This window comes from Homo sapiens, chromosome 11 (assembly GCF_000001405.40).
Source record: "Homo sapiens chromosome 11, GRCh38.p14 Primary Assembly".
NCBI lineage: Eukaryota > Metazoa > Chordata > Mammalia > Primates > Hominidae > Homo > Homo sapiens.
The window spans coordinates 588510-616221 of record NC_000011.10 but is presented as its reverse complement, the minus strand read 5'-3'; the positions used below and the strand labels follow the sequence as shown (position 1 = coordinate 616221).

At 57.9% G+C, this 27712-nt stretch overlaps 2 protein-coding genes across 24 annotated transcripts in view, besides 5 other annotated features; one reads left to right on the top strand and one right to left on the bottom strand.

The window, feature by feature from the left end:
* Window positions 272-3667, top strand: IRF7 (interferon regulatory factor 7). 9 transcript variants are annotated; one of them, NM_001440442.1, is made up of 11 exons: window positions 272-309; window positions 575-877; window positions 963-1125; window positions 1215-1425; window positions 1691-1746; window positions 1823-2048; window positions 2185-2271; window positions 2357-2437; window positions 2627-3016; window positions 3105-3223; window positions 3422-3667. In NM_001440442.1, the coding sequence occupies exons 2-11, from the start codon at window positions 858-860 to the stop codon at window positions 3575-3577; spliced, it is 1509 nt and encodes a 502-aa protein (NP_001427371.1). In that variant the 5' UTR covers window positions 272-309; window positions 575-857; the 3' UTR covers window positions 3578-3667. The 9 variants fall into 9 exon arrangements, with proteins under 9 accessions (NP_001427371.1, NP_001563.2, NP_001427374.1 ...); NM_001572.5 differs by having other exon boundaries at window positions 1688-1746; NM_001440445.1 differs by lacking the exon at window positions 2185-2271.
* Window positions 816-1410: an enhancer, noted in NCBI's record as "H3K27ac-H3K4me1 hESC enhancer chr11:614812-615406 (GRCh37/hg19 assembly coordinates)". NCBI's record gives its function as "activates a minimal SCP1, AML or CMV promoter by ChIP-STARR-seq in naive H9 embryonic stem cells {active_cell/tissue: H9 hESC(naive)}" and the evidence as "EXISTENCE:reporter gene assay evidence [ECO:0000049][PMID:30033119]".
* Window positions 2005-2599: an enhancer, noted in NCBI's record as "H3K27ac-H3K4me1 hESC enhancer chr11:613623-614217 (GRCh37/hg19 assembly coordinates)". NCBI's record gives its function as "activates a minimal SCP1, AML or CMV promoter by ChIP-STARR-seq in naive H9 embryonic stem cells {active_cell/tissue: H9 hESC(naive)}" and the evidence as "EXISTENCE:reporter gene assay evidence [ECO:0000049][PMID:30033119]".
* Window positions 3194-3788: an enhancer, noted in NCBI's record as "H3K27ac-H3K4me1 hESC enhancer chr11:612434-613028 (GRCh37/hg19 assembly coordinates)". NCBI's record gives its function as "activates a minimal SCP1, AML or CMV promoter by ChIP-STARR-seq in primed H9 embryonic stem cells {active_cell/tissue: H9 hESC(primed)}" and the evidence as "EXISTENCE:reporter gene assay evidence [ECO:0000049][PMID:30033119]".
* The window catches only part of PHRF1 (PHD and ring finger domains 1), a 35753-nt gene continuing 12040 nt past the window's right edge, over window positions 4000-27712 (bottom strand). For 5 of the 15 annotated variants that reach the window (NM_001286581.2, XM_005253025.6, XM_011520237.4 and 2 more), the window contains 14 exons: window positions 24755-24838; window positions 23548-23663; window positions 19202-19299; window positions 18652-18827; window positions 17720-17849; window positions 14521-14648; window positions 10922-11103; window positions 10498-10617; window positions 9626-9780; window positions 6502-9156; window positions 5875-6026; window positions 5461-5721; window positions 5140-5268; window positions 4000-4588 (listed from right to left, as the gene is read on the bottom strand). In NM_001286581.2, the coding sequence (NP_001273510.1) occupies window positions 4445-4588; window positions 5140-5268; window positions 5461-5721; window positions 5875-6026; window positions 6502-9156; window positions 9626-9780; window positions 10498-10617; window positions 10922-11103; window positions 14521-14648; window positions 17720-17849; window positions 18652-18827; window positions 19202-19299; window positions 23548-23663; window positions 24755-24838 (4530 nt within the window). In that variant the 3' untranslated portion in view covers window positions 4000-4444. The remainder of the gene's footprint in view (window positions 4589-5139; window positions 5269-5460; window positions 5722-5874; window positions 6027-6501; window positions 9157-9625; window positions 9781-10497; window positions 10618-10921; window positions 11104-14520; window positions 14649-17719; window positions 17850-18651; window positions 18828-19201; window positions 19300-23547; window positions 23664-24754; window positions 24839-27712) is intronic. The other 10 variants (NM_020901.4, NM_001286582.2, XM_047427348.1 and 7 more) reach the window with 3 other exon arrangements.
* Window positions 10945-11563: an enhancer, noted in NCBI's record as "H3K27ac-H3K4me1 hESC enhancer chr11:604659-605277 (GRCh37/hg19 assembly coordinates)". NCBI's record gives its function as "activates a minimal SCP1, AML or CMV promoter by ChIP-STARR-seq in primed H9 embryonic stem cells {active_cell/tissue: H9 hESC(primed)}" and the evidence as "EXISTENCE:reporter gene assay evidence [ECO:0000049][PMID:30033119]".
* Window positions 20222-20721: an enhancer, noted in NCBI's record as "H3K4me1 hESC enhancer chr11:595501-596000 (GRCh37/hg19 assembly coordinates)". NCBI's record gives its function as "activates a minimal SCP1, AML or CMV promoter by ChIP-STARR-seq in primed H9 embryonic stem cells {active_cell/tissue: H9 hESC(primed)}" and the evidence as "EXISTENCE:reporter gene assay evidence [ECO:0000049][PMID:30033119]".

Below are 27712 nucleotides of genomic sequence, written 5' to 3'. Positions count from 1 at the left end.
GCAGCTGCCCCTTTTTCGAGGCACGTCCACCTCCCATTACCCACTTCCTTTTTTTTTTGAGACTGAGTCTTGCTCTGTCCCCTGGGCTGTAGTGGAGTGGCTCCATCTCGGCTCACTGCAGCCACTCCCAACGCCCTCCACTCCTCCCTACTCCGCGCTGGCCGGGGCGGGGTTCCGCTGGTCGCATCCAATAATAAGAACAGGCGGCGCGCGCCCTTCCCGGAAACTCCCGCCTGGCCACCATAAAAGCGCCGGCCCTCCGCTTCCCCGCGAGACGAAACTTCCCGTCCCGGCGGCTCTGGCACCCAGGTACTGGGGACCCCAGACCCACGCGGTGCAGGCCGGGAGCGAGAGCCTCCGTGGGGGCTCCGTGACCCCGGAGGGGTAGAGCCAAGAGCTGGGGGAGCCTGAGAGATGAGGGTCGGGCGGGGAGGGAGGCGGAGGCGGAGGCGGGGTTCCGCGGAGCTGAGAACCGGACGGGGTGGGATCGAGGAGGGTGCGAAGCGCCACTGTTTAGGTTTCGCTTTCCCGGGAGCCTGACCCGCCCCTGACGTCGCCTTTCCCGTCTCCGCAGGGTCCGGCCTGCGCCTTCCCGCCAGGCCTGGACACTGGTTCAACACCTGTGACTTCATGTGTGCGCGCCGGCCACACCTGCAGTCACACCTGTAGCCCCCTCTGCCAAGAGATCCATACCGAGGCAGCGTCGGTGGCTACAAGCCCTCAGTCCACACCTGTGGACACCTGTGACACCTGGCCACACGACCTGTGGCCGCGGCCTGGCGTCTGCTGCGACAGGAGCCCTTACCTCCCCTGTTATAACACCTGACCGCCACCTAACTGCCCCTGCAGAAGGAGCAATGGCCTTGGCTCCTGAGAGGTAAGAGCCCGGCCCACCCTCTCCAGATGCCAGTCCCCGAGCGCCCTGCAGCCGGCCCTGACTCTCCGCGGCCGGGCACCCGCAGGGCAGCCCCACGCGTGCTGTTCGGAGAGTGGCTCCTTGGAGAGATCAGCAGCGGCTGCTATGAGGGGCTGCAGTGGCTGGACGAGGCCCGCACCTGTTTCCGCGTGCCCTGGAAGCACTTCGCGCGCAAGGACCTGAGCGAGGCCGACGCGCGCATCTTCAAGGTGGGGACCCCAGCCCCGCCCCGCCCCGGGTGGGAGAGCCCGCCTAGGACCCCGCGGGCCCGGCACACGTGTTCTGTCCCCCTCTTCAGGCCTGGGCTGTGGCCCGCGGCAGGTGGCCGCCTAGCAGCAGGGGAGGTGGCCCGCCCCCCGAGGCTGAGACTGCGGAGCGCGCCGGCTGGAAAACCAACTTCCGCTGCGCACTGCGCAGCACGCGTCGCTTCGTGATGCTGCGGGATAACTCGGGGGACCCGGCCGACCCGCACAAGGTGTACGCGCTCAGCCGGGAGCTGTGCTGGCGAGGTGAGCGACGCCGGCTGCCAAGGGCGTTGGCATTCGTCCTGCTTGGGCAAAGGGGAACATTCTCTGGGTCAGATTTGTGGTTTTAGAAGCTGTTCTGGGAGAGGCTGCCAGCAGGCCCAGGACAGGTGGAGAGCCACATCCCCACCTCCTCAGGCCACAGCCTAAGGGTTCACAGCCAGGAAGCTGGTGGGGGCTACACCAGGCTCTCCTTGTATCTCTCACTCTGGTGTCGGGGCCTAACGCCTGCCCCATTCTCTCTCAGAAGGCCCAGGCACGGACCAGACTGAGGCAGAGGCCCCCGCAGCTGTCCCACCACCACAGGTACCCTTCTCTCTGCCTGCCTCTCCTCCTGCCAGGCCGCGGAGCTGCTTACGTTCACCCTGACTTTTCCCTGCAGGGTGGGCCCCCAGGGCCATTCCTGGCACACACACATGCTGGACTCCAAGCCCCAGGCCCCCTCCCTGCCCCAGCTGGTGACAAGGGGGACCTCCTGCTCCAGGCAGTGCAACAGAGCTGCCTGGCAGACCATCTGCTGACAGCGTCATGGGGGGCAGATCCAGTCCCAACCAAGGCTCCTGGAGAGGGACAAGAAGGGCTTCCCCTGACTGGGGCCTGTGCTGGAGGTGTGGGCGTGCCCGGGGAGGGGGGGAGCGCGGGAGGGGCCAGTGCACCTGGACGGACACTTTAGAAGGGGGCTGGGGATTGGGGAGCTGGAGAATTAGGAGGGGACCACCGTTCCCACTGTCCTCCCCTCCTCAGGCCCAGGGCTCCCTGCTGGGGAGCTGTACGGGTGGGCAGTAGAGACGACCCCCAGCCCCGGGCCCCAGCCCGCGGCACTAACGACAGGTGAGAGGGGTAGGGGTTGGGAGGCCTGGGGCACAGGGAGAGGCTAGGGATGAGGTGCCAGCACAGGATTCCCTTCCGGATGCAGGCGAGGCCGCGGCCCCAGAGTCCCCGCACCAGGCAGAGCCGTACCTGTCACCCTCCCCAAGCGCCTGCACCGCGGTGCAAGGTGAGTGCATCCCAGGAAGGGGCAGCCTGTCCCCGCCCACCCCCGTCACTCACGGCTTGTCCCCGCCCACCCATCACTCACATCCTGTCCCCGCCCACCCCCGTCACTCACATCCTGTCCCCGCCCACCCCCGTCACTCACAGCCTGTCCCCGCCCACCCCCGTCACTCACAGCTTGGTCTCCACACAGAGCCCAGCCCAGGGGCGCTGGACGTGACCATCATGTACAAGGGCCGCACGGTGCTGCAGAAGGTGGTGGGACACCCGAGCTGCACGTTCCTATACGGCCCCCCAGACCCAGCTGTCCGGGCCACAGACCCCCAGCAGGTAGCATTCCCCAGCCCTGCCGAGCTCCCGGACCAGAAGCAGCTGCGCTACACGGAGGAACTGCTGCGGCACGTGGCCCCTGGGTTGCACCTGGAGCTTCGGGGGCCACAGCTGTGGGCCCGGCGCATGGGCAAGTGCAAGGTGTACTGGGAGGTGGGCGGACCCCCAGGCTCCGCCAGCCCCTCCACCCCAGCCTGCCTGCTGCCTCGGAACTGTGACACCCCCATCTTCGACTTCAGAGTCTTCTTCCAAGGTCAGTGAGGCCCTTGCCTGGGGGGCTGTCTCCAGGGGTCCTTGGGAGCACCTGCCTGCCAGGTACTCAGCAGAGTCCCCTTCTTCAGAGCTGGTGGAATTCCGGGCACGGCAGCGCCGTGGCTCCCCACGCTATACCATCTACCTGGGCTTCGGGCAGGACCTGTCAGCTGGGAGGCCCAAGGAGAAGAGCCTGGTCCTGGTGAAGGTGAGACCAGAGCCTCAAGGAGGGGAGGCCATGTGCTCAGGCCCACTGACAGACGCCTGATGCCCTCAGAGCCTCGGAGAGGGGGAGGGGAGGCCATACACCGGGTCACTGACAGACGCCCGACGCCCTCAGAGCCTGGGGAGGGGGAGGGGAGGACACACGCCGGGTCACTGACAGACGCCCGATCCCTCCTGGCAGCTGGAACCCTGGCTGTGCCGAGTGCACCTAGAGGGCACGCAGCGTGAGGGTGTGTCTTCCCTGGATAGCAGCAGCCTCAGCCTCTGCCTGTCCAGCGCCAACAGCCTCTATGACGACATCGAGTGCTTCCTTATGGAGCTGGAGCAGCCCGCCTAGAACCCAGTCTAATGAGAACTCCAGAAAGCTGGAGCAGCCCACCTAGAGCTGGCCGCGGCCGCCCAGTCTAATAAAAAGAACTCCAGAACACGTACTGGCATCTTGGCTGGTGGGGAATTGGGTCCAGGCTGAACACGGGTGAGGCCCAGGGAGGGAGGGGACCTCCACGGCCTCCCTGCACACCAACTCACTTCTGTCTTCACCACACACATCACAGCCAAGCTTTGACTCAAAGAACAAGACCCTTGACAGGCCAGTGGCCGCCAAAGCCACTCCCACCAGCTGTGCCAAGGGCAGGGACAGCATTTCCCCATGCAGGACACCTGTCGCCAGCCCTCAGGCTGCCACTGCTGCACCCTGCCTCCAGGAGGCAACGGTGTTGAGTGCAAACTCGAGCAATTATTTACAAGAGCACAACATAATTGGAAAAGAGAAAGTAAAGATATTCCTAATTCAGAGCCAAAGGTACACAGCAGCTGTTGGCGGGAGGCCACCTAGAGATTTATCAAGGACGCGCCACCCCACCAGGAGCCCCTCTTGATCACCAAGTGCTTTATCTTCCAAGTAGTAAGTCAATCAAGAGGTTTCTAAAGATAATCCATTTTTGATAAATTAGAATGGAAACAGTGTCTCTATAATATACATACAAAAGTGTCCAGTTTTCAACTGTGAGCAACACAGGTGCACAGACCAGGTGTCAGCGCAGGAACCCGACGGCAGGCATGGTGATGCCCCCCATTTCCCGCCACTCCCGACAGCTCCCCGGGCATGGCCCCGATTCCCGCCACTCCCGACAGCTCCCCGGGCATGGCCCCGATTCCCGCCACTCCCGACAGCTCCCCGGGCATAGCCCGTGATTGCCTGGCCTCAGCCCTCGGCCCCCTGCGTGGGCGGCTCCTCCCCGGCCTCTGGTTTCTTGTGCCTGCGCATGTGCCTGTACTTGTCCACGTACGCCTTCACCAGGTTGGCCACCTTCACGGGGTTGATCTCTCCACTCTTGCTGTGGCAGATCTGGAGAAAGAGGTGCAATCACCAAATGCCCTTTCACATCCAGATGTTCCGGGCCAGAGCCCAGGGCCAAAGCTGGGCTCCCTCGCCTGCCCTGCTCAGGAGCAGGCCCTAGGTGCAGCACGCAGACAGACGGCGGCAGAGGCCGCCCCACCTATGTGAGACCCCCGTCCTGTTCGCTATGCCGCTCACAAGGCCACTGAGGGTCCCACGGTGTCGGTGGGCGGGGGGAGCATGGGCTGAGACGTCACCAGGCAACTGCTCACCTCTGGGGGTCGTTCTCCCACCTGTAAGCTGGGCGTGGGCTGGGTAGTTTTAAATTACCCAGGGTGCACTGAGGCACCCTCCTTCCTAAGCATCTGCCAGGGGCAGCCACAGGCGAACAGGCTTGACCCCAGGCCTACAGGATGTGGCAATACAGCCCCCTGACCCCTAACCTGGCTGGCTGACCTCGGGCCTGCACTCATGGCCACCCCAAAGTCCATGCTGACGAGACAGCAGCGACGTACCGCCCGTGACCCCGAGCCCCACACACAGGCTCGCACACAGCCCACCTTCTGCACGGCCTTGCGCAGGATGTCCTTGTACTCCTCCTTGGTCACCTCCCTCTTCTGGTAGAAGGGCTTGATGGCCAGCTTCACCTCCTCCACAGCACGCTCCTGCATGTGCAGCTTCTTCATGTACTAGAGGGGACATGTGTGTGATGCGGCCAGGAAGGGAGCCGGGAGTCCCTCTGGCCAGAGGCACTGTGGTTCTGGACACCCTTGCAGTTCCAGAGGCACAGCGACCAGCTTCCGCCCATAAACTCAGCCCCAACAACTTTAGTTTCAAAGTAAGATGGGAACATGGGGAAAGTGGGAGGAGGCAGGACTCACCTCCTCCTTCTTGGTTTTCTCCGCAGCTAGCCTGGGGGCCGGGGTCTTCTCCTCCGAGTTGCTGGCTGCAGTGGCTTGACTGGCTGGCTCTGAGGCTGGGGTCAGGGCAGCGGGCACTGGGGCCAGGGTCTGTGCTGCCCCACAGCCCACTAGCGGCAGGCTCCCCTGAAGGATGAACTGGACCGTGGGCTGGCTGACCAGTGCGCAGGGTGGGATGCTTGAGGGCTGGGCCGGGGCAGGCGGCAGGCCGGGGCTGTAAACCTGGGAGGGACACCCCTGCTGAGCACTGGGCCCTACAGCTAGCAGCTCTGTGCCCAGGAGCTGTGAGGCCTCAGCCCCAGCCTAGTGTGGTGTGTGTGGCACGGGTGCCAGGCCACTGCCCACGGCCCACAGCCCTCCAGCCCAGACACCCACCTGAGAGGGGTCTGTGTCTGGGAACCCGGGTTCCGGAAGCACGTGACTGGGAAAGGGCAGCTCGGAGAACACCTGCCTGACCCCTGTGGGGGCCACATCCTCCATGTCCCAGGCTCCTTCTCGGGGCTTCTGTGGCCTGTGAAGTGGTGCCCCTGGGGGCCCGACAGACAGGGAGGTGGGTGCTCTGTGCCCACCCCTGCCCAGAATGCTGTTTCATGGCTGGAAAAATCCAGAAAAGCACCAGGAGCAAGGACCACAGAGCAGCCCTCAGATCCACCCCCAGCACCAAGGGGAGGTTGCGAGGTGTGCCAGCTCCTAGCCACTGATCCCCGACCATGACCTGTTCTGCCCACCTGCAGGAGACCCCCACACCCACTATCCCAGTGTTCCCTGGCTCCAGAAGCTCCCTGTGGTGGCCGGGGCCCTACTCACTCAGGGGCCCTGTCCTTGACAGGAGTCAGATTCACAGGGGGCTCTGTTCTCAGCGGAGGCCAGGGCCCTACTCACGGGGGGCTCTGTCCTCGGTGGAGGCCGGGGCCTTACTCACGGGGGGCTCTGTCCTCGGCGGGGGCCAGGGCCTTACTCACTGGGGGCTCTGTCCTCGGTGGGGGCCGGGGCACTACTCACGGGGGGCTCTGTCCTCGGCGGGGGCGCTGCTCTCCGACTCCTGCAGGTTCCAGGTGACCCGCTTCACCAGGGCTCTGGACCGCAGCAGGGGGGTCTGCGAAACCACCTCCTCAGGCCGGGCTGCCTCCTGTACCCTCCCACTCGCAGAGGGGCTGTCTTCCTTCCCCGCAGGCGCCACATCCGGGGAACTGGGTGCCTCAGCCTTCTCAGCCGCGTCCGGCCTGAGCAAATGTGGCTCCTGGGTGCCCTCTGGCAGGGGTGGGGGCTGCGAAGGGTCTTCATCGTGCATCAATGACACCTCCCTCTGGATGGCGGCCACGGCCAGGCTGGCTGGGGGCAACGCAGGCTTCAGTGGGAAGTCTCGCTCCGGGGAAGAGTCTGTGCTTTCGGGAGAAGGTGGCGAGCTCATGTCATCGAGCTGGATGAAAACGGCGTCGCTTGAGAAATCATCAAAGACGTGTCCGGCCTCCACGGAGTCGCCATAATCCAGGTCCAGGTCGTCCGGCTCACACTCAGCTGCCACCTCCAGGACAGGGGGAGCCTGCAGGGGGGCCTTGTCGGCCGTAGCCACCTCCGGCGAGACATGTGCTTCCCCCAAGGCTGGCAACCTGGTGGGGAGGTCTTCCCGCCCTGGCTCCCCCTGTGCAAGGGGCGCTGGGGAAGCCTCCCTCACAGCCCCCTTCCTCTCTGGGGAATGGGACCGGGTCTGCGGCCACTTCTCACGGGACCGAGGCCGCCTGTGCTCCCGTGCCCTGTGCTCCGAGCTTGGGGACCGGGACCTCCGCTTCCTCCGGTCTCGGGGCCACGCCACACTCTCCTTCCTGTCTGGCCGCTCGTGGCTGCGTTCCCGCTGATGCTTGTGCCTGCAGAGCCTCTCCAGGCTGCTGGTGGGGGAGCACTCCCTTCCCCGAGGTCTGGACGCTGATCTCCTTTTCTTCTTCTTCCTACTCTCATAGTGCTCATAGGAAGAGCTGCCAGGGCTCCCCGACCGCGACCGGGACGTCCTCCGGCTGTGGCCCCAGGGGCCCCGCCTGTGCTCCCTGCTCTTGTCCTTGGCTTTCTTCCTCTTAGCTCGCTCTCGGCTGCTGGAGCGGTCACTGGAGGACCGCCGGCTCTTGGCCTTGGACCGCTGCCTCCTGGGGCGCTCCTCACCCACTGATGGTGACGCTGACCTCGAGCTCCTGTCCCTGGATTCAGAGCGCGTCCCAGAGCGCGTCCGTCCGTGCTCCCTGGACACCCTCTTCCTCTTGGCCTTCTTCCTGCTGCGGGAGCTGGATGTGGAGCGGGACCGGGAAGGGGGCCTGAGCTCCACGACTCTGTGGGTGGCAGCCTGCAGCACGTCCGGGCTGGGTGGGGCTTCCGGCTCCACGACAGTCACACAGGTCACCGTCCGCTCCTCAGAGCCAAAGAAGGTGCTGCAAGACGCCCCATCCTCCTCATCCCAGGGCTCTGGGGGGGATGGCCTCCGCAGCCGGGCAGCCAGGCCCTGGCTCTCTGTGGGCTCCTCTCGCTCCGTGTCAGAGGCCCCCTCGGCAGCCACTGCACCCCGGAGCTTGGACATGGCGGAGGACGGTCCGAGAGGGGGTTCGGGCTCTGTACCAAAGATGCTCTCCACCGTGTAGGAGGTGACGCAGCGCACAGCCTGCACCGTCTGGGCCTTCGGGCTGTTGATGGAGATGGTTCGTGTGATCTCAGAGGGCAGGAGGCCGGGGCCAGACCTCTCGGGGCTGCTGCCAGGGGCGCTGGAGTCGGAGCCGGTGGGGTCGGATGGGTCGTAGACCTCGCTCCGCAGCTGCTTCGTCTTCTTGATGGAGAAGAGGGGTGAGGGGTTCTCCTTCCTCTGCTCCTTATCGTCCACAGGCCGGAACGTGTTACAGAAGCCAGGGCTGGAGAGCTGGCTGGAATGTGCCATGTTTCCAGGAATATTGATCCGGAAGCTCTCAAAGGTCGACCCGACCCCTTTCCCTCTTGATGGTCCCAGTGGGGCCAAACTGCCATGGGAGCTGGGGGCTGGGGGCCGGGAGCTGCCCGTGTGCACCCCGGGCTCCCGGGGCACCCTGCTGCTGGCCTCGCTCTCTGCCCGTGTGCCTCGCCCTGGCTGCCCGGTGCCCTCCCTGCCAGTCAGTCGGCTGATGCAGGCACTGGGGATCTCAATGCTCTGCCCGTGGGCCGGGGCCGCATCCCGTCTGCCACCACCGTCATCTCTCCTGATCTTTGGTATCCTGGGTAGCTCAGAGATGTCTGTTCTTCTGGGCGCTGGCTTCAGGGGAGGCCCCGGCACCACACTGCGACATGGGGGCTTAGAATCTCTGCTTGAGATCTTAGACGCGGCAGAGGCAAGGGGCAAGGTGTGCTTGTTGGTGCCGTTGAACCAGGGGCTGTGGCTCTGTCTGAAGCCAGGCACACTCCCATTTGACAAGTTCCGAGCCTGAACCGCCCCAGGGGCTGCTGGCAAGTCCAGCCTCACAGGCGCCCCCGCGGTGCGGGCGGGGGTGCGGGACCTGCCTTGACAGCTGAGCCCTGTGCTCTGTGGCCTGTTTCCTGACGGGCCTTGGGCCGGGCTCCCGGAGGGCAGTGCTCGGGGCTGCAGGCAGCCCTTGAATCCTTCTTCCCCTCTGGACAGACTGCCTGAGTTTCGCTGAAAAGAAACTGGAGCTAAAAAACAAAAAAGTCAATGGCAATCATTTCCCACCCACTCTTCTTAAATGTCAGTGGTTTAATTTTTATCACAACTGGTTTTCTGTGAGGTCGTGCGCTTTAAACTCCTGTCTGCCTGTTGAGGTGGACACCTCGCCTTTCCACACCCGGAGAGCTGCTTCAACAGCCACTCTGTGGATGACAAAGTACAGTGCCTGAGGCCATCAGGACACGATATTAACCAGGGGCGGGGGCAGTACCCCATCAGGACATGTTCTTATGAACATGAAGCTGTGGGGCTGGGTAAGAACTCGGAGCTAACTGAGAAACTGCTCAAGAAGGGAAATCAATGCAGAAAAATGGCTGAGGAATGGTCCCCCCAACTTCAGCTACATCTTCCGTGACTGAGACATGGGCTGAGTGCTTGCGAACAGCCTGAGGACCAGCAGCCCACAGAGGAAGGGGCCGTGGCAGGGAAGGCACTCACCCGCCCTCTTGGCGCTGAGGGAGCCGTCGCGGTGGATGATGACATCACTGCTGCCCAGCATCAGGAGGCTCTGGCCCGACAGGATGCTGCCCAGCAGGTCAGGCACTGGCTCCTCCTCCAAGTCTGGCTCTGGCACCGCGGCAGGGAGGCGCCTCCTGTGGGCACAGACCCAAGGCCCTGCCGTCACTGCCTCCCACGGCCTGAGGGCCCGCACCCAGGCAGAGCCCCGCAGCAGGCGGGAGCCAGGGAGAGTGGGGCTGGGCCGGGCCTGCGCCTCCCCCACAGCCCTGGCTCCGGCTGCTGTTCTAAGAGGTGCTCACCGGGGCCTCCCAGAGGGAGGGAGGGAGGGAGCCCCACCTCGCAGCTCTGGCCCCAGGGAAACCAGGCGTTTTTGGGAGAAGTCACCTCTGGTGCCTTTGCCACCCCCAACTCCACCAACAGGTGGGAGGGGGCAGACAAGCACCTTTACCTGTTTTGTTGGTTTTGGTTAATTTTTTGTTCTTGTGGCGAAACAAAAGAACTGGCCAAAAGGTGACCTCTGATGACAGCCTTATTCACCAGGGCCACTGCTCCTGCCCGAGGCGGTGTCCCTGTGCTGGTGGCTCTCAGGCCGGGGTGGGGGGCAGAGGGGCCACCTCGTGGAGCTGCAGCAACTCCCAGTCCACGCTCACAGGCAGGCCGTGGCCTCTGACACAGGATGGGCTGCAGCACTGCCTCACGCCAAGGGCCGACTGATGAGCATGACAGCTGAGGGGAGGTGCTGACGCCACCCAGGGCCACAGAGAGCCAGGCTATCACGGCCCCACCCTAGAACTCCCATCCGATGCCCAACTGCTGCCCCCACCTCCCCAGAAGCCTCTGCCCTCACACACCTGGAAAGCCCCACGGAGACGGGCCTGGCCACGGGCTGGTGGGACTGCAGGGCTGACCGGGACAGAGCCCGTCTCTTGGCACTCAGAGGGGAAAGAGGGTTTGCAGAAAGCTCTTCACTGCTAGAGGGGAGGACACAGGCCAAAGGGAACAAGTGACTCCCAGCTCCCAGAAACCCCAGCCCAGGGAGACGGCACGGAGGAGGATGGCCGAGCACTGGCCATGTGGCGGCACGTGTGATTCGGGCCCCGAACCAGACCTCTGAGTTCCACGCCACCCACCTGCACCGTATGGCGGTGGGAGGAATGGCCACCCTCACTCTCAAACACAAAACCTAACGCCTCCGCATGCACCTCGGGGCCCCGTGCCCACAGCCCCCAGGGAGAGGAGCGGGTGCCCAGGCAGGACCATCACCAGTTCACTCACCTGTCGAAGGGATCCAGCTCATAAGGATCTCCAAACAGAGACAGAGAGGCAGCTCCAATATCCGCTCTCAGCAGCCCCAAAGAGGGCTCCACTGGCTTCAACACTGACGGGATGCAGCTGCTGTGAACAGGCCTGCGCAGGCCCAGCGTCCGCGCGATTCGAGAGCGAGTGGTGGCTTCACTCTGAATCCAGTAACAAAGAAAAAGATGAACAGAGAGACGGGGATGGCATCTACGAGGGCTCTGTAAATGCCACGTGAAGCCTTCATCAGCAACAGTGAACACTAGAGCCGGAAAATACTAAGCCAAAGTCAATGGGCTTCTCAGGCATGATGACCGACAAGCAGGAACAATGCCGCACACATCGGCCGTGAAGCTCCTGCAGGCTACCAGAGGCTCTCGGGCATTGCAGTGTCACCATCACGTCGTAGTAGCATTAAGTGAAAACTCACAAAGAGGGAAACAAAAAATTCAACTGATGACTGACAGTAAAACCCCTTGATGGCTCACATCTGTAATCCCAGCATTCTGGGAGCCCAAGGCAGACAGATCATTTGAGGCCAGCTTGAGACCAGCCTGGCCAACATGGTGAAACCCCATCTCTACTAAAAATACAAAAATTAGCTGGGCCTGGTGGCGGACGCCTGTAATCCCAGCTACTCAGGAGGCTGAGGCAAGAGAACTGCTTGAACCCGGGAGGCAGAGGTTGCAGTGAACCAAGATTGCACCACTGTAACTCCAGCCTGGGGGACAGAGCGAGACTCTGTCTCAAAAACAAACAAACAAGAACACCAAAAAAGCCTTGAGAAGATGACACAAATTTAGATTTTAAGCGCTGTCATTATTCCTAAATTCCTAAAAACCCTAAGAGTTACTAGCTGTTTCCTTCTGATTCTAGGCAGAGCGGACAGGGCAGCCTCCCGCTGTGGCTGGGACTTCATCGCCTGAAGGCAGGCGTCGCCCCTCCCAAGGGTGAACACCCTCACGTGCCATCGGGCCCCCAGGCTGTGGTCCCAGAACACTGTCTGCAGAAGAAAGGAACCACAGAAACAGCATGCAGGACAAAAAGCTCAGGACGACGCCCAGGAGTGTTCTGGGCACAGGGATGGGAGACGAGGTTCCAACCCAGGCTCAGGGCACCCCGCAAAGCAAAGGGAGAGCCCAGGGGACCTGAGAACTGGGAAATAGCAGGTCCTTATCCAACACCTGGTCATGGCTTTAGCTTCTACTCCAGGAATTTTGTCTGAATGAATAAACAGATCGGATGTTCGAATAATGCATTTAAAACTAAAATAAGAGGGCCAGGCATGGTGGCTCACACCTGGAATCCCAGCAGTTTGGGAGGCCAAGGTGGGTGGATCACTTGAGGTCGGGAGTTCAAGACCAGCCTGACCAACATGGCAAAACCCCATCTCTACTAAAAATACAAAACTTAGCCGGGCGTGGTAGCACACACCTATGATCCCAGCTATTTGGGAGGCCGAGGTTGCAGTGAGCTGAGATCATACTACTGCACTCCAGCCTCAGCAACAAGAGCGAAACTCCATCTCAAAAAAAAAAAAAAAAAAAAAACAAACTTAAATATGGTTTTAGATAAATATGTATTATATGAGTTTATATTTACTAGGAAATAAACAATAATCTTGAGTATAAATTCACATAAAGATGCAGCAGACTTGGCGCTCACACCTGTAATCCCAGCACTTTGGGAGGTTGAGGCAGGAGGATCATTTGAGCCTAGGAGTTCAAGACCAGCTTGGGGAACGCAGTGAGACCCCGTCTCCACCAAAAAAAGAAAATTAGCTAGGTGAGGTGGCGTGAGCCTGTGGTCCCAGCTACTTGAGAGGCTGACGTGGGAGGATCACCTTAGCCTGGGAGGTCAAGGCGGGTGCAGTGAGCCAGGATCATGTCACTGCACTCCAGCCCGGGTAACAGAACCAGACTTTGTTCCCGCCCCAACCTAAAACAAACAAACAAACAACACTTTGTGAGGCTTAGATGACAAACTGCTTAAGCCCGGGAGTCTAAGACCAGCCTGGGCAACATGGCGAACGCTTGTGTCTACGAAAAATACAAAAACTAGCCGGGCACGGTGGGCTATGCCTGTAGTCCCAGCTACTCAGGAAGCTGAGGTGGGAGGATCACCTGGGCCTGGGGAGGTCAAGGCTGCAGTGAGCTGGGATTGAGCCATTGCACTTCAGCCTGGGCCACAGAGTGATACCATCTCAAAAAACAAAACAAAGGCTGGGCACGGTGGCTCACTCCTGTAATCCCAGCACTTTGGGGGCCGAGGTGGGCAGATCACGAGGTCAGGAGTTCAAGACCAGCCTGATCAACATGGTGAAACCCTATCTCTAATAAAAATACAAAAATTAGCTGGGCGTGGTGGCACACGCCTATAATCCCAGCGACTCAGGAGGCTGAGGGAGGAGAATCACTTGAACCCGGGAGGTGGAGGGTGCAGTGAGCCGAGATCGCACCACTACACTCCAGCGTGGGGACAGAGTGAGACTCCATCTCAAAAAAAAAAACAAAAAAAACAAAAACAAAACCAAAAAAGATTCAGCAAACACTTGAACAATGGCTGCAACTCAGTTTTGTTTTGTTTTGTTTTGTTTTTGAGGCAGAGTTTTGCTCTCGTCTCCCAGGCTGGAGTGCAGTGGTGCAATCTCGGCTCACTGCAACCTCTGCCTCCCAGGGTTCAAGTGATTCTCCTGCCTCAGCCTCCTGAGGCTGGGACTGCAGGTGCCTGCCACCACACCCAGCTAATTTTTAGTCTTTTTAGTAGAGATGGGGTTTCACCATGTTGGCCAGGCTGGCCTTGAACTCCTGACCTCAGGTGATCCGTCCGCCTCAGCCCCCCAAAGTGGTGGGATCACAGGTGTGAGCCACCGCGCTCGGCCGTAATTCAAGTTTTTACATATTAAGGTGTTTTAAATGTGCAGTCCGAGTGGACAAGGTGATACATTTAGTCCCGGTTTGAGCATCACAAACATGCACACGAATGACACACCACCCTCCACCCCATCAACACAGACAATAATTAGGGATCAACTAAAAATGAATATTAAATGTCTGGTCCATGATTTTGGATGGAAAGGGCCTAGGACAACAAACGCCACGACGTATACCAAGGAGGCCGCTCCCAGGGCCCAGCGAACATGGGTCAGAAGAGGTGGACAGGGCCTGTCAGACACGGCTTGTGTCACTCCTCAGAGCCAGGCTGGCCAGGCCTGCCTGAAACCCACAGCTGCTCCTGGGGGCCTCTGCCAGAGGGCTTGCACTGGCCTGGCTCACACCTGGCTCCCCGACCAGCTGATGGCTTCAGGAAGGTTCCTTGGGGGCACATGACCACCCCTCAACCCCTCAGTGTGCCTCAGGAAACAGCTGGCCTCAACCCCATCTTCAGTCTGTGCTACAGAAATGTTCATTTCCATCAGCAAATCACTGAGTAAATACAGAAAAGCAAAGACGATGATGATCCCTGCTCCATAACCGCGCGAGGGTGCCAAGGCCAGCGGGAGGCTTAGGCCCTGCTCCGTAACCACGCGAGGGTGCTGTGGCCAGCAGGAGACTCAGGCCCTGCCACCCAATGCTCACCTTTACCTTCTTCCCTCTTCTCTTCTTCACTCGATGTTGGCGTTTCTTAGATCTTGTCGCTGAGCTCTTACTTTTTGCGGATGGTCCGGACGGGGTTTTCTTTCTTCCCGGCACTTTCTTCCGTCTTCCTAAGGAAAAGAGGTTGAAGTCTGTGCTTCTCTGTGCTGGGCCCTCCCTGCCCCATTCCTGTGAGTCCAGCCCAGTGGACGGAGCCCAAGGAGCCGGTACAGCGGGACCACACGCACCGGCTTGCAATTTTTTTTTTTTTTTTTTGAGACAGGATCTTGCCCTGTCACCCAAGCTGGAGTGCAGTGGCACAATCTCAGCTCACAGCAGCCTCCAACTCCTGGGCTCACGTGATTCTCCTGCCTCAGCCTCCCAAGCAGCTGGAACTACAGGTAGGCACCACCGTGCCCAGCTAATTTTTTTTATAGATAGGGCTTATCATGTTGCCCAGGCTGGCCTCTGGGCTCAAGCGATCCTCCTGCCTCAGCCTCCTAAAGAGCTAGGATTACAGGTGTGAGCCACCACGCCTGCCCAAATTTTTTTCTGAGACGGAGTCTTGCTCTGTCACGAAGGCTGAAGTGCACTGGTGCGATCTTACCTCACTGCAACCTCCGCCTCCTGGGTTCAAGCGATTCTCCTGCCTCAGCCTCCCAAGTAGCTGGGATTACAGGCATGTGCCACCACACCCAGCTAATTTTTGTATTTTTGTATTATTTTGTTTTGTTTTTTTGAGACGGAGTCTCGCTCTGTCACCCAGGCTGGAATGCAGTGGCGTGATCTCAGCTCACTGCAATCTCTGCCTCCCAGGTTCACGCCATTCTCCTGCCTCAGCCTCCCGTGTAGCTGGGACTACAGGCGCCCGCCACCATGCCCGGCTAATTTTTTGTATTTTTAGTAGAGACGGGGTTTCACCGTGTTAGCCAGGATGGTCTCGATCTCCTGACCTCGTGATCCGCCCACCTCGGCCTCCCAAAGTGCTGGGATTACAGGTGTAAGCCACCATGCCTGGCCTAATTTTTGTATTTTTAATAGAGACAGAGTTTTGTTAAGTTGGCCAGGCTGGTCTTGAACTCCTGATCTCAGGTGACACACCCGCCTCAGCCTCCCAAAGTGCTGGGATTACAGGTGCGAGCCACTGTGCCCGGCGTCAAAGATTTTTAAACGGAGAAATAAACCATATATATATATATATATATATATATTTTTGGAGACAGAGTCTCACTCTGTCACCCAGGCTGGACTGCAGTGGCGCCATCTCAAACTCCTGGCCTCAAGCTATCCACCTGCCCCAGCCTCCCAAAGTGCTGGGATTACAAGCTACTCAGGAGGCTGAGGCACCACAATTGCTTGAGCCTGGGAGGCAGAGGTTGCAGTGAGCTGAGATTGCGCCATTGCACTCCAGCCTGGGCAAGATGAGATCCTGTCTCAAAAAAAAAAAAAAGGAATAAAAATAATGTGTTCCTATCGGGGAGAGACACAGAAAATGAGCTGCACCGAAGAACAGAGCCTGACATCCCTGAGTGCACCATTAGATATCTTACATAGTTCTCATCAGGGCCAGGCACCATGGCTCACACCTGTAACCCCAGCACTTTGGGAGGCCGAGGCAGGTGGACTGCTTGAGACTTTAACACAAATGAGCTCACTGCACATCTGTAGTGACATAAAGATTAAAACAATTTTAACTGCAAAAAACACCCAGCCAAACGCCCATCAACAGGACAAACTGTGGTATATTCATACAATGGAATATTTCTCAATAATAAAAAATCAGCCACAGACACAGGTAATTACAGAGATTCCCAGAGTACTGTGCTGAACAAAAGGAGCAAGTTGGGCCCCTGCACCAGACCCACAGACGCCGAGACCCCCGGAGCCCCAGGACCCTGCACCAGACCCACAGACGCCGAGTCCTCTGGAGACCCAGGACCCTGCACCAGACCCACAGACACTGAGTCCCCTGGAGCCCCAGGACCAGCACGACCGACACACAGTGATGCACATGGCCACAGGGCTGCTGGTGGGGCTGAAGTGTGGTCTCATAACTATTTCTGTGCTGGCTGGAATGGAAGTTACGTCTGTCAAACCTAGGACTACACACTAAAGCGAGTGCATTCACTTAATAAAAAGCACGTACGCTTCAGGCCAGGCGCAGTGGCTCAGAGGCCTGTAATCCCAGCACTTTGGGAGGCTGAGGTGGTCGGATCACCTGAGGTCGGGAGTTCAAGACCAGCCTGGCCAACATGGTGAAGCCCCATCTCTACTAAAAATACAAAAACTAGGTGGGTGTGGTGGCGGGTGCCTGTAATTCCAGCTACTTGGGAGGCTGAGGCAGGAGAAACACTTGAACCCGGAAGGTGGAGGATGCAGTGAGCCAAGATCATGCCACTGCACTCCAGCCTGGGAGAGCGAGACTCTGTCTCAAAAAAAAAAAAAAAAAAAGAAAAGAAAAAAAAAAAGAAAAAGTATGCATGCTTCAATACAGTTAATTTCTAAAAGATCACAGATTAGAACGCACTGAGTAAAGCAGGAGTCCATGCGTCTACAGTGACTTAAATCCCCACGAGGGAAAGGGAATGCTCTTCTGAGAGCCAAATGTGCACGCGCACCAGCGCCGGGGGTGTCTGACAAGGTGCAGTCCACGGCTCTCCCCAGGAGCGGCCCGTTAATTTTAAGGGAGAATTAGTCACTTCACAGTGGACCTCTGAGAACCAAGTCATCAAAGTTAACCAGCACTGGGACAAAATTACCAAAACTCACAGAGAAAAGGACTGAAAACCTGAACAGGGCAGAAGCAAGACAAGATGCGAAATCACTGATCTCAACTCGGCCCCCACAGAAAAGCCCAGGCCCAGATGGCTTCAGGGCGTATTCTGACAAATGTTTACAGCAAAAATAACAAGACTGCTTCCATAAACTTCAGGATGCAATCCTTCCAGAAAGCAGAGGGGAACAATGCGGGAAGGCCGGCATCACCCTGACACAATGCCAGAGGCAGCGTGGTCGCAGATCGGCACATCAGACCCACACCTCCCGGGCCCGGCGCGGCTTCTGTGTAGTGTTTTCAGCAGAGAAGATTAACTTGCAGAAAGAAGAAATGGAAATGCCCACAGCCTTGAGGGAAGCAGTGAGTGGACCTCGGGCGTGGGTCCCAGCCTGTGGCTGGCGGGAGAGTCCATCCCTTCAGGCTTACTTGTCTTCCTCTTCCGTCGGGCGGGAGTGCGCGGCGTCAGGGGGCGCTGATACACGGCAGTGCTCAGGCCAGTCGCCACAGCCTCGATGGCTTCATCCAGCAGGGAAGACCCGAGGCGCCCTGGTGTGTGCTACAGGCAAAGGGGTGGTGCCGTCAGATGCCCTTGGGGCCTCAGCCGGTCCAGCACAGACCCCAAATGGAGCCCAGAACACAGCCCACAATGGCAGCCAGAGAAGCAGGACAGCCTCCCCACCCGCCACTGCAGCAGCCACGGCCCGGCCTTCCTCTCCCCTGCCAGAGGCTGCCAAGCACTCCCACGGGGGCAAGGCGGGTGGGGGACAGACAGCATCCCAGGGGCACACGAGAGGGCACCAGTCACTGTGGCGGGGGTGGCGCAGGTACTGGGCAGGGCACTGGACAGGGACAGCCCCCTCCCCACCCAGCCTTCTCAGTCCACTCCAAATTCAGCGTTAGGCTTGCCAAGGGCACACACCACATGCCCACAGCCCAGACCCTCCTGCTTGTCCAATGCCCAGGGAAAGGCTGCTGTCAGGACGGAGGCTGCAGGGAGCACCTGAAACCGAGCACCAGGTCCAGTGCAAGAGGAAGGTGCTCACAGGTGCCTAGAGGGAGCGGTGCTGGCATGGGGCCTGGGGAACAAGGGGGGTTTCCTAGAGCCCCCACCCCGCCAGGGCCAGGCTTCACCTGCCCCTCAATACCTGGCTCCAGGTGCTCAGAGGCAGCCCCACCTTGGGCCGCTGGGGTCACCCTGGGGTGCACTCATCTGCTCCCCTCAGCAGGCCGAACAACATGAGCCACCGGGGCCGGGCGGACCCCACAGTGCCGACGACGCCCCTCCCACCCACCCAGACTGCCGAGATCACTCTGGGCAGCTGGGGTTCTACGACTGGCGTCAGGGCTGGGCCACCCACCTGGACCCTCCTGGCCGTGGAGATCCGGTTCCGGTTCACGGTTGCTCTCACTCTCTCACTCTGCCGTGTCCTGGCTATCGCCCGGGTCCTACCTGCTCGAGGCCGAAGCCTGCTGGTGGTGGGCACCACATCAGCCAAGAGCAGGGAGACCTCCTCCTCACTCACGGGACCCGCATCTGGGAAGAACCACCAGGGCTGATGTGCCACACTCACAGGCCACACGCCTCCCCCAACGGCTCCCCCTGTGGCTGCCGGCCAAGTAGCAGCCCTGGCTCGGGCTGACCTGTGCACAGGACCCAGGGCTGCTCATGGAGCCTGGTGCTCCTAACACTGAGGACCGGAACCCCCCAGCCAATGGACCCCACACACATCCCCGAGAAGACGAGCCCGAGACAGCCCTAGATGTCCTCCCGACACCGCAGCCAACCCTAACCCCCATGAGACAGCCCTAGATGTCCTCCCCACACAGCAGCCAAACCTAACCCCGGGGACCGCAGAGTGGACAGTGAGAAGGCCCATGTGCGCCTTGGGACGGGAGCAGTGTCCTTACCAGCGGCAAGGACAACACCAGGCGCAGCACATTCCGGGCAGAACCACTCGTCCACCGGCACCTCCTGGAGAGGGGGGTCCAAGCATTCCATGTGGTACCTACAGGAGAGAGCAGGGCCAAAGCATCCGGGTGCTGCTCACAGCTTTCCCAAACCTCCTCAAGTGAGGGGACCACAAAGCAGGCCTCCGATGGCACCCAAGTCTGCGATGCATTCTGTTATGGGCTGACCCACATCCCTCCAAAATTCATAAGAAGCCCTAACCCCCAATGTGACAGCAGATAGACATGGAACCTTTAAGGTTATAGGATTGGTGTCCTTAGATGAGGGAAGGCCAGGTGAGGTCACAGCGGGGAGGCGGCCGTCTGTAAGTCAGGAAGGGGGCCTCCCCAGGAACCAGGCCTGCTGGTATCTCAGATGTCTAGTTTCCAAAACCAAGAAAAGGAAGACCTGCGGTTTACGCTGCCCAGCCTGTGGTATCCTGACAGCAACTGAGCTGGCTGCGACACACGACACACACCCACAGGCCGACAGTGGCTCACACTGAGCTCCTGCGGTAGGTGCTGCCTGTGGGGCCCCCTTCCCAGAGAGCTTGTCTCCCCCACCCTCACTCCCGGGTTTTCAAACATTGCACCTCACACCAAGCCACTGAAGAAGGCGAAGGTTTCTTTGCTGAAAGGAAACTATGTTTTAATTGTTTCTATCGAGCCTTCTGGGAAGGTAGTTTGGGAAGTGCTGCCACTGGTATGAGGTATATGTGCCCCTCCAAGCAGCCGAGGCTCGGGAGTCTATGCAAAGATCCTTGAAACTTCATCCCAAAGACCCCAGACAGCCCTGAGTAAGGCAAAAACAATCAAGGGAAGGGAGTCAAGCTGATGATTTCCCTGAAAATTGAGCCTGAATTCAACTGAACTTAACTACCACTTACCACGGGCTGAACTGTTCTAGGATCTAAGATACGAGTTAAACAAGAGTAAACCCATTCTCCCAAGAGTCCTGCACCTATGAGAAGGTGTCTGCTGTGTGGCCCTTGCTAGGGCCATACAAGAAAGACAGGAGACAGGCATGCAGGAAGAGAAGCCGACTGCCCCGGGCACACGACACGCCCTGCCAGGCCAGCAGAGGGGGGCGGCGGGTGGGGGCACTCCAAGAGCCTAACTAGGTCCCCTAACATCTGTTCTTATACAAGTTCTCTGGGGACAAAGGCAAGGATGAGCAGTACCTTCTTTCAAAGAATTCCAAAGTCTGAAAACGTCCAACCCACTTTCCCACCACTGAGCTCCAGCAGCCTTGGAGGAGGCTGCGGCTCACCTGAGGCCCGAGCAGAAGGCCCCTCTGCGCCTGGCAGGCGCCCATCCACAGCCAGGCCAGGCCTGTGTCCCCCACACTCATCCCCGAGAAGAGGAGATTGGCTGCAAGTTTAAATACGAGCACGGGGACAAGGAGGGCTGCCGAGACCTGCCCAGCTACGGTGCAGGCACCCATGGCTCCACCTGCACAGGGAGCTTGGTGGCCCTGCAGCTGAAGGTGCTCAGATCTGACCTGCCCAGGGAGGGGAGGGCCACACCTAACAGGCCTCAGTGAGCCCCTGCACTGCCTCCCTGGTGAACACACACTTTTAAATTAGATTGTAACTTAAAAAAGAAAAAAATCAGAAACTGTATCTTATTTCATGTAATGTCAGTGTATCTACAGATAGTGTTTTTTTGTTTTTTGTTTTTAGTCTCTCTGGAGTGCAGTGGCGCAATCTCGGCTCACTGCAACCTCCGCCTCCCAGGTTCAAGGTATTCGCGTGCCTCAGCCTCCCAAGGATCGGGGGTTACAGGTGTGAACCACCACGCCCGGCCAATTTTTTTATTTTTAGTAGAGACGGGGTTTCGCCATGTTGGCCAGGCTGGTCTCGAACTCCTGAGCTCAGGTGATCCACCCGCCTCGGCCTACTGTGATTCCATTTTGACATGAGGAACTGAGTAATTTTAGACGTGTGATTTTTAAGTCAGACTTAACTGAAAATTTGGCAGACTGCAAATTGTAACAGTATGGAAATGTTTAGAAGTATGAGAATCGTTATATTGATCAGTTTTAATGTTTTAGATCCACCAGGGTTTTTATGTACTTGCGTTGTTTTATCTGCCAAGTAATTCAAGTAGTGTAGGTAGAAAGAAAATCAATATATCAAGTTTGTAAATGTAATTTATAATAAAAAATTTTAATTAAGCTGTAAACATTCCCAAGAGCCTTGTTAGAAGGTACTACAACTAGGTTGGGCATAGTGGCTCACGCCTTTAATCTCAGCACTTTGGGAGGCCGAGGTGGGCGGATCAATTGAGCCCAGGAGTTCCACACCAGTCTGGCCAACATGGTGAAACCCCGTTTCTCCATAAAATACAAAAATTAGCCAGGTGTGGTGGCATGTGCCTGTAATCCCAGCTACTGAGGAGGCTGAGGCAGGACAGTCACTTGAACCTTGAACCGAGGTTGCAGTGACTCGCTGCAGAGGTTGCAGTGACTCGCTGCAGAGGTTGCAGTGAGCCAAGATGGCGCCACTGCACTCCAGCCTGGATGACGGACCAAGACTCTGCCTTGAAAAAAATAAGTAAATGAGTAAAATAAAAGCTAACAGGAAAACCAGGCTTTGTGCGTGAAAACTGGCCTACCAGCTGCCCTCGAGCCACTAGAAGGCTCACGGCCCTGGCCTGCGATGAGGGCCTTGCCCAAGACGGTGCCTGTGGCGACCAGGACCAGGTCTATCATGCCATGGTCTCTCAGGCCGTGTCCAGCGATTCCAGGCCAGCCCAGGCCCTTCCTTCACATGCCCAGAGTGGCCGCAGCCACAGGTAAAGAGGACAAAAGAGGACCAGTCCTACACATGGGCATGGAGTGCTGAGCCACCCCTCCACCTTTTTTTTTCTTTTTAAGCATTCTGCATATATTCACGGTGTAAGTCAGTAATCAACAGCCAATAAGCACTGTGCCCAGGGCTGCAATGACCAGGCTGCTGGGATAGTCAAGGCAGCAGCCCTGCCCTTCAGACTCACAGCAACCAACTCAGTGCCTGCCGGGGCAACTGGCAGCAGACGCTCCCAGGAACCCTGAGGAGGTGAGGACCGTCAGGGCAGAGCACTCAGGAAACTCACAAAACATGGATTTAGGCTCAGACTCGTGAGAAAGGAGGGACGGCGAGGTGTCTGCGAATGTGAGCAGAGGCGTGGCTATCTCCCGGCTGCTGGGAGCAGAGGGCAGGACCAAGCAGGGGCTGGGGACCTGGAAGGGCCGGCGGAGCGCACTGCAAGGCCCCTGTACTCCCACAGGCCATGAGGAGGAGGGCGAACTGACGATGAGACAAACGTGGTGGCCGCCTGCAGGACCCCCAAGGAGGCCCCTGCAGTGTCTGCAAAAGGACAGCCAGCGATTCCTGCACCAACAACAGCGTGAGTGGAGCAGAGGCCTGGGTATGTGGCTAACAACGAGGTGACAGGTGGGGGCACAAGCGGCTGTGCTCAAGGACGAGTCAAAGCTGGGACGACCGGGACCACCCGCCACAGAGCAAAGGCCTTCACCAGGAGCCCATCCTCGGTGCGGCTCCAGCCGCGGCACGTCAAGGCCTCCTGGCTCCGGCTGTTCCGTAGTCCAAACCCTGACCCAGCTACTTCCCACCCAAGAGAAGGCCCCAGATCGAGCAGCCTCACTGGTTCTTTCAACAAGGGAAAGATTTCCAGAATCCTCTCTCCATAATTTCACAGCAGAAAAATTATTCAAATCAACAGGGAAAGCCCCTCGCAGGAGGCTAACGGGGAAGGGGGCATCTGCTTACAGCCAACGACACAAAGCAGGGATGAGGAGACAAGTGTCACAGGCTCCCGGGAAGCCAGGGCCACGCAGGGCCAGAGCAGGCGCTCTCAGCTGTGCCAGGGAGAGCAGCAGGTGCAGCATAACTGGACATGCACCAGAGGGTGAAGGAGGAGCAGGGTGAAAGGTGAGGGACCAAGGCAGCCAGAATGATGGACGCAGGCATAGCCACCCCTCCCCCACAAAGGCCGGGACCAGGACACGTCCCACCCTCTGGCTGACCAGCCCCACAGCCTCCTGTCCGGCTGTTTTCTTTTTTGTCTTGATGTATTACCTGCACTTCTGTGGGCAGCCTCAGAATGTTTTTTGGGGAAAGACTGAAGTGTAAATGAGTGTAACAGGAAGGCCCGCAGGACTGAACCGCGCTGCTGAGGGTGGTGAGCACAGCTCCAGGTGCTGGGACTCAGACTTCACAGAGCGAAGAGGCTCTGCATCCCTCCTGCGCCTGGCCCGCCTTGCACGCAGCAGGGCACGTGTGCCAGTCCCAACCGTCCCTTACCCCGCATCGCAGCCGTCGCAGAGCAAAAGCCTGTCCTCACGGTCGCTCCTGCCGCACACCTCACAGAAGGTCGGGTCCTCCTCCTCCTCGCTCGCTTTGGTGTTCTCCACTGGGATCTAGGACAGAATCGTCGGTCACCACCACACAGGACCCAAACTCCCCGCAGTCACTTCCCAGCGTGAAACGCAGTTAATCCAGAATCCACCCATTGCCTTAGATTCATATTTGGGCTCCACAGGCCCAGAGGGTCTCCCTCCACGTGTACACAGGGATTTTTATGTTTTCTACCATCTCAGGGTGGTGATCTAAGAGGAAAGTATTCAACAGAAAACAAAGTATGATGCACGGAAAGGAGCGGGTAAGCCCTGCGGCCCCAAAGTGGGCCGCAGTAGGGCGAGGCAGCAGGTGCTGGACTGCCACGGAAGAGCAAGATCTGCCTCTTAAAAAAAAAAAAAAAAAAGGCTGGGCACGTTGGCTCACGCCTGTAATCCCAGCACTTTGGGAGGCCGAGGTGGGTGGATCACGAGGTCAGGAGATCGAGACCATCCTGGCTAACACAGTGAAACCCCGTCTCTACTAAAAATACAAAAAATTAGCCGGGCGTGGTGGCGGGTGCCTGTAGTCCCAGCTACTCGGGAGGCTGAGGCAGGACAATGGCGTGAACCCAGGAGGCAGAGCTTGCAGTGAGCCGAGATTGTGCCACTGCACTCCAGCCTGGGCAAAAGAGCGAGACTCTTGTCTCGGGAAAAAAAAAAAAAAAAACAGCCGGGTGTGGTAGCTCATGCCTGTGGACCCAGCTACTCAGGAGGCTGAGGCATGAGGATTGCTTGAGCCCAGGAGATTGAGGCTGTAGTAAGCTGTGATTGTGCTACTGCACTCCAGCCTGGGTGAAAGAGCAAGATGGTGTCTCAAAAATAAAGAGCTCCGAGCAGACGGGCCAGAGCACTGCTCCCAGATGTGATGGGTACAGGGGTGGGGTCGAAGGGATATCCCAGGAGCTGGCAATATCTCTGCCTCTAACCCCCAACCCAGACCCCAAACCCCCCAGACAGGGCTCATGGCCACAAGGGGCACTTGAGTTGATTTCTATGAAGCATTTAACCAACCCTCATTTCAGGAGAGCAAGCCCACTTTGGAAAGCATGCTCTGTCCCACAGGGCCGGGATAGAAGCACGGCTGGGGCCTCCACGGCAGCGTCCACACTCACCTTTCTTAAGATTTTACCACCAAATTGAGCTCGAATACAAATGCACTTAAATAGAGTTCGATCAACTGGACAGGAATTGGCATTCTGTGAGAAATAAAAACAGGATCAGAATCTTGTCAATCACTTTCACTTAGAGATCAAAAATTCTTTTACACTGAAAATCAAGTATCTGCTAAATGCCTCCATGCGCCAGGCCCTCCACTAAGCTGCTGGCAACACGGCAGTGGAGGGAGCACAGCGAGCCTTGCCTCCCTGCAGAGCTGCCAGCCCTAGCGGGGAGGAAAGAGCAGCTCCATGAACGCGTAGCATCTCAGTGACAAGTAAGAACAATAAAGGGAGGAAGGACAGGCGTGGGGGCGGCATTGTGCACAGGCCCCTCTGCGGCGAGCCTGTTCAAGTCTTCTGCTAACTTTTCCAAAAGATTGTTGGACATTCACTAGTAAATTTTTAGAATTTCTTTTCATAGGCCGGGAGCAGGGGCTCATACCTGTAATCCCAGCACTTTGGGAGGCCGAGGCAGGCAGATTACCTGAGGTCGGGAGTTCGAGACCAGCCTGACTGACACAGAGAAACCCCGCCTCTACTAAAAATACAAAATTAGCTAGGTGTGGTGGCGCATACCTGTAACCCCAGCTACTCGGGAGGCTGAGGCAGGAGAATCGTTTGAACCCGAGAGGCTGAGGTTGCGGTGAGCCGAGATGGCGCCACTGCACTCCAGCTTGGGTGACAAGAGCCAAACTCCATCTCAAAAAAAAATTTACTTTCATAGTATGGATAACAGTCAGGTATACGTTGCAAATTTATTTTTGCCTTTATTAATAGTGTTCTGACCCACATAAGATCTTTATGTTGGCTTTATTAAGGTACACCATACACAAGAAAACACTGATTTTAACTGAATAATTCAATCGGCTCTGACAAATATACAACCTGTGGAGTACCCACCCTGGTCTTCGGGCCCTTCCCTCTCCCACCTGACTGTTTCTTCCTGTTGTCTCAGGGGTGTGGTTAGGTACGTCTTCCCTGGGGTTTCTCAGGATTGGAGCCGCAGCATGGACTCTGCTCATGGCATTCTGCCCTCCCTAGCACTGAAGAGACACTGCCACACAAATGGTCCACGTGTCCATTCCCCCGTGGTGAACATCGATGGACGTGTCTTCGTGTGGGCGCACTCCTGTTTCTCTTGGGTAAACACCCAGGAATACATGGCCTTTGAGGTTGTACGTGTGACACCCCCACCTCTGGAGTCTGGGGTGCCCTCCTACCGACCAGCTCCAGGGGTGTGCGGCAGCACCCCCCATGGTGGGACTGGGGTTCCCAGAGGAGCCCTGCTGCTGAACCCTGCACGCTCCGTGCCCGTTTGCACACATTCTCAGGCTGAGCCCCGCACGCTCCATGCCCGTTTGCAGACATTCTCAGGCTGAGCCCCGCACGCTCCATGCCCGTTTACAGACACTCTCTGAGGCTGAGCCCCACACGCTCCGTGCCCGTTTGCAGACTCTCAGGCTGAGCCCCGCACGCTCCGTGCCCGTTTGCAGACACCCTCTCAGGCTGAACCCTGCACGCTCCATGCCCGTTTGCAGACATTCTCAGGCTGAGCCCCGCACGCTCCGTGCCCGTTTGCAGACTCTCTCTCAGGCTGAGCCCCGCACGCTCTGTGCCCGTTTGCAGACACCCTCTCAGGCTGAGCCTGACATGCTCCGTGCCCGTTTGCAGACACTCTCTCAGACTGTTTAGGAAATCCTTCTCTTTTCTTATCACAGAGCTACCCATGCTTTCTTTTCAAAGGTTCAGCTTTGCTTTCTAGTCCGAGATCTTGACTCCGTCCGGCATCGTGTGTGTGCTGTGAGCAGCCCCCAGCTGACCTGCCCCACAGGCGCCTCCTGCCCCCCCGAGTGTGTCCAGGCCTCTTCTAAGCCCCTGCAAAACCCCTGGGACTGGTTTCCATTCCTGGACCGGTTCCAGTTCAATCCCTGTAGTTTTATAAATCATAATATCCAGTAGGCAATTTCTCCCCTTTTCAAAGCTATCTTGGCAATTCTTGGTGCCTTCCTGTCCTCCTGTGTTGACTTCACAACACATCAAGCACCCTGAACTCCTGCTGGGAAGGACGGAATCAGCATCCTCAACCTCTCTATGGAGCAAGATGTCTCGAAAGGGAAGGGGCCTTGCTTCAGTCACGGCTGTGTTAGAAAAGCTCTTTAAATGTCTTACACGTCTCCTTATGACTTATTTCTAAACACAATTTTAATCTTTATTAACCTCGTATCCAATAATCTCGCTAAGCAGCATTTTAACAGTTCATCTGTAAGAGTTCTCCTTTTTTTTTTTTTGAGACAGTGTCTTGCTCTGTCGCCGGGCTGGAGTGCAGTGGTGCAATCTCAGCTCACTGCAACCTCCAACTCCCAGGTTCAAGTGATTCTCCTGCCTCAGCCTCCCGAGTAGCTGGGACTACAGGTACGTGGTACCACGCCCGGATAATTTTTGTATTTTTAGTAAACACAGGGTTTCACCATGTTGGCCAGGATGGTCTTGATCTCTTGACCTCATGATCCACCCACCTTGGCCTCCCGAAGTGCTGAGATTACAGGCGTGAGCCACTGCACCCGGTTCCATTTGTAAGATTTCTATACTGACAAACTTGTTTGCAAATGCCCTCTTCTGCCCAATATTTATCTAATAAATGCCAGACAGAAAATACATAGCAAACACTGTATCTTGTTCCTCAATTTAAATGAAAGCTTCACTTGCCAAAAGAAAAATCTACAAAAAAAAATAAAAATAAAAATGGCCGGGCGTGGTGGCTCACGCCTGTAATCCCAGCAGTTTGGGAGGCCGAGACGGGTGGATCACCTGAGGTTGGGAGTTCAAGACCAGCCTGACCAACATGGTGAAACCCTGTCTCTACTAAAAATACAAAATTGCCCTGGCGTGGTGGTGGGCACCTACAGTTCCAGC

Excerpts from the sequence above, each read along its gene's own strand:
- IRF7 (NM_004031.4), top strand. The coding sequence starts at position 904 with ATGCCAGTCCCCGAGCGCCCTGCAGCCGGCCCTGACTCTCCGCGGCCG. Across the intron at positions 2,438-2,626 it reads CGCCTGCACCGCGGTGCAAG|AGCCCAGCCCAGGGGCGCTG; the intron begins GTGAGTGCATCC and ends GTCTCCACACAG. Across the intron at positions 3,017-3,104 it reads CTTCAGAGTCTTCTTCCAAG|AGCTGGTGGAATTCCGGGCA; the intron begins GTCAGTGAGGCC and ends CCCCTTCTTCAG.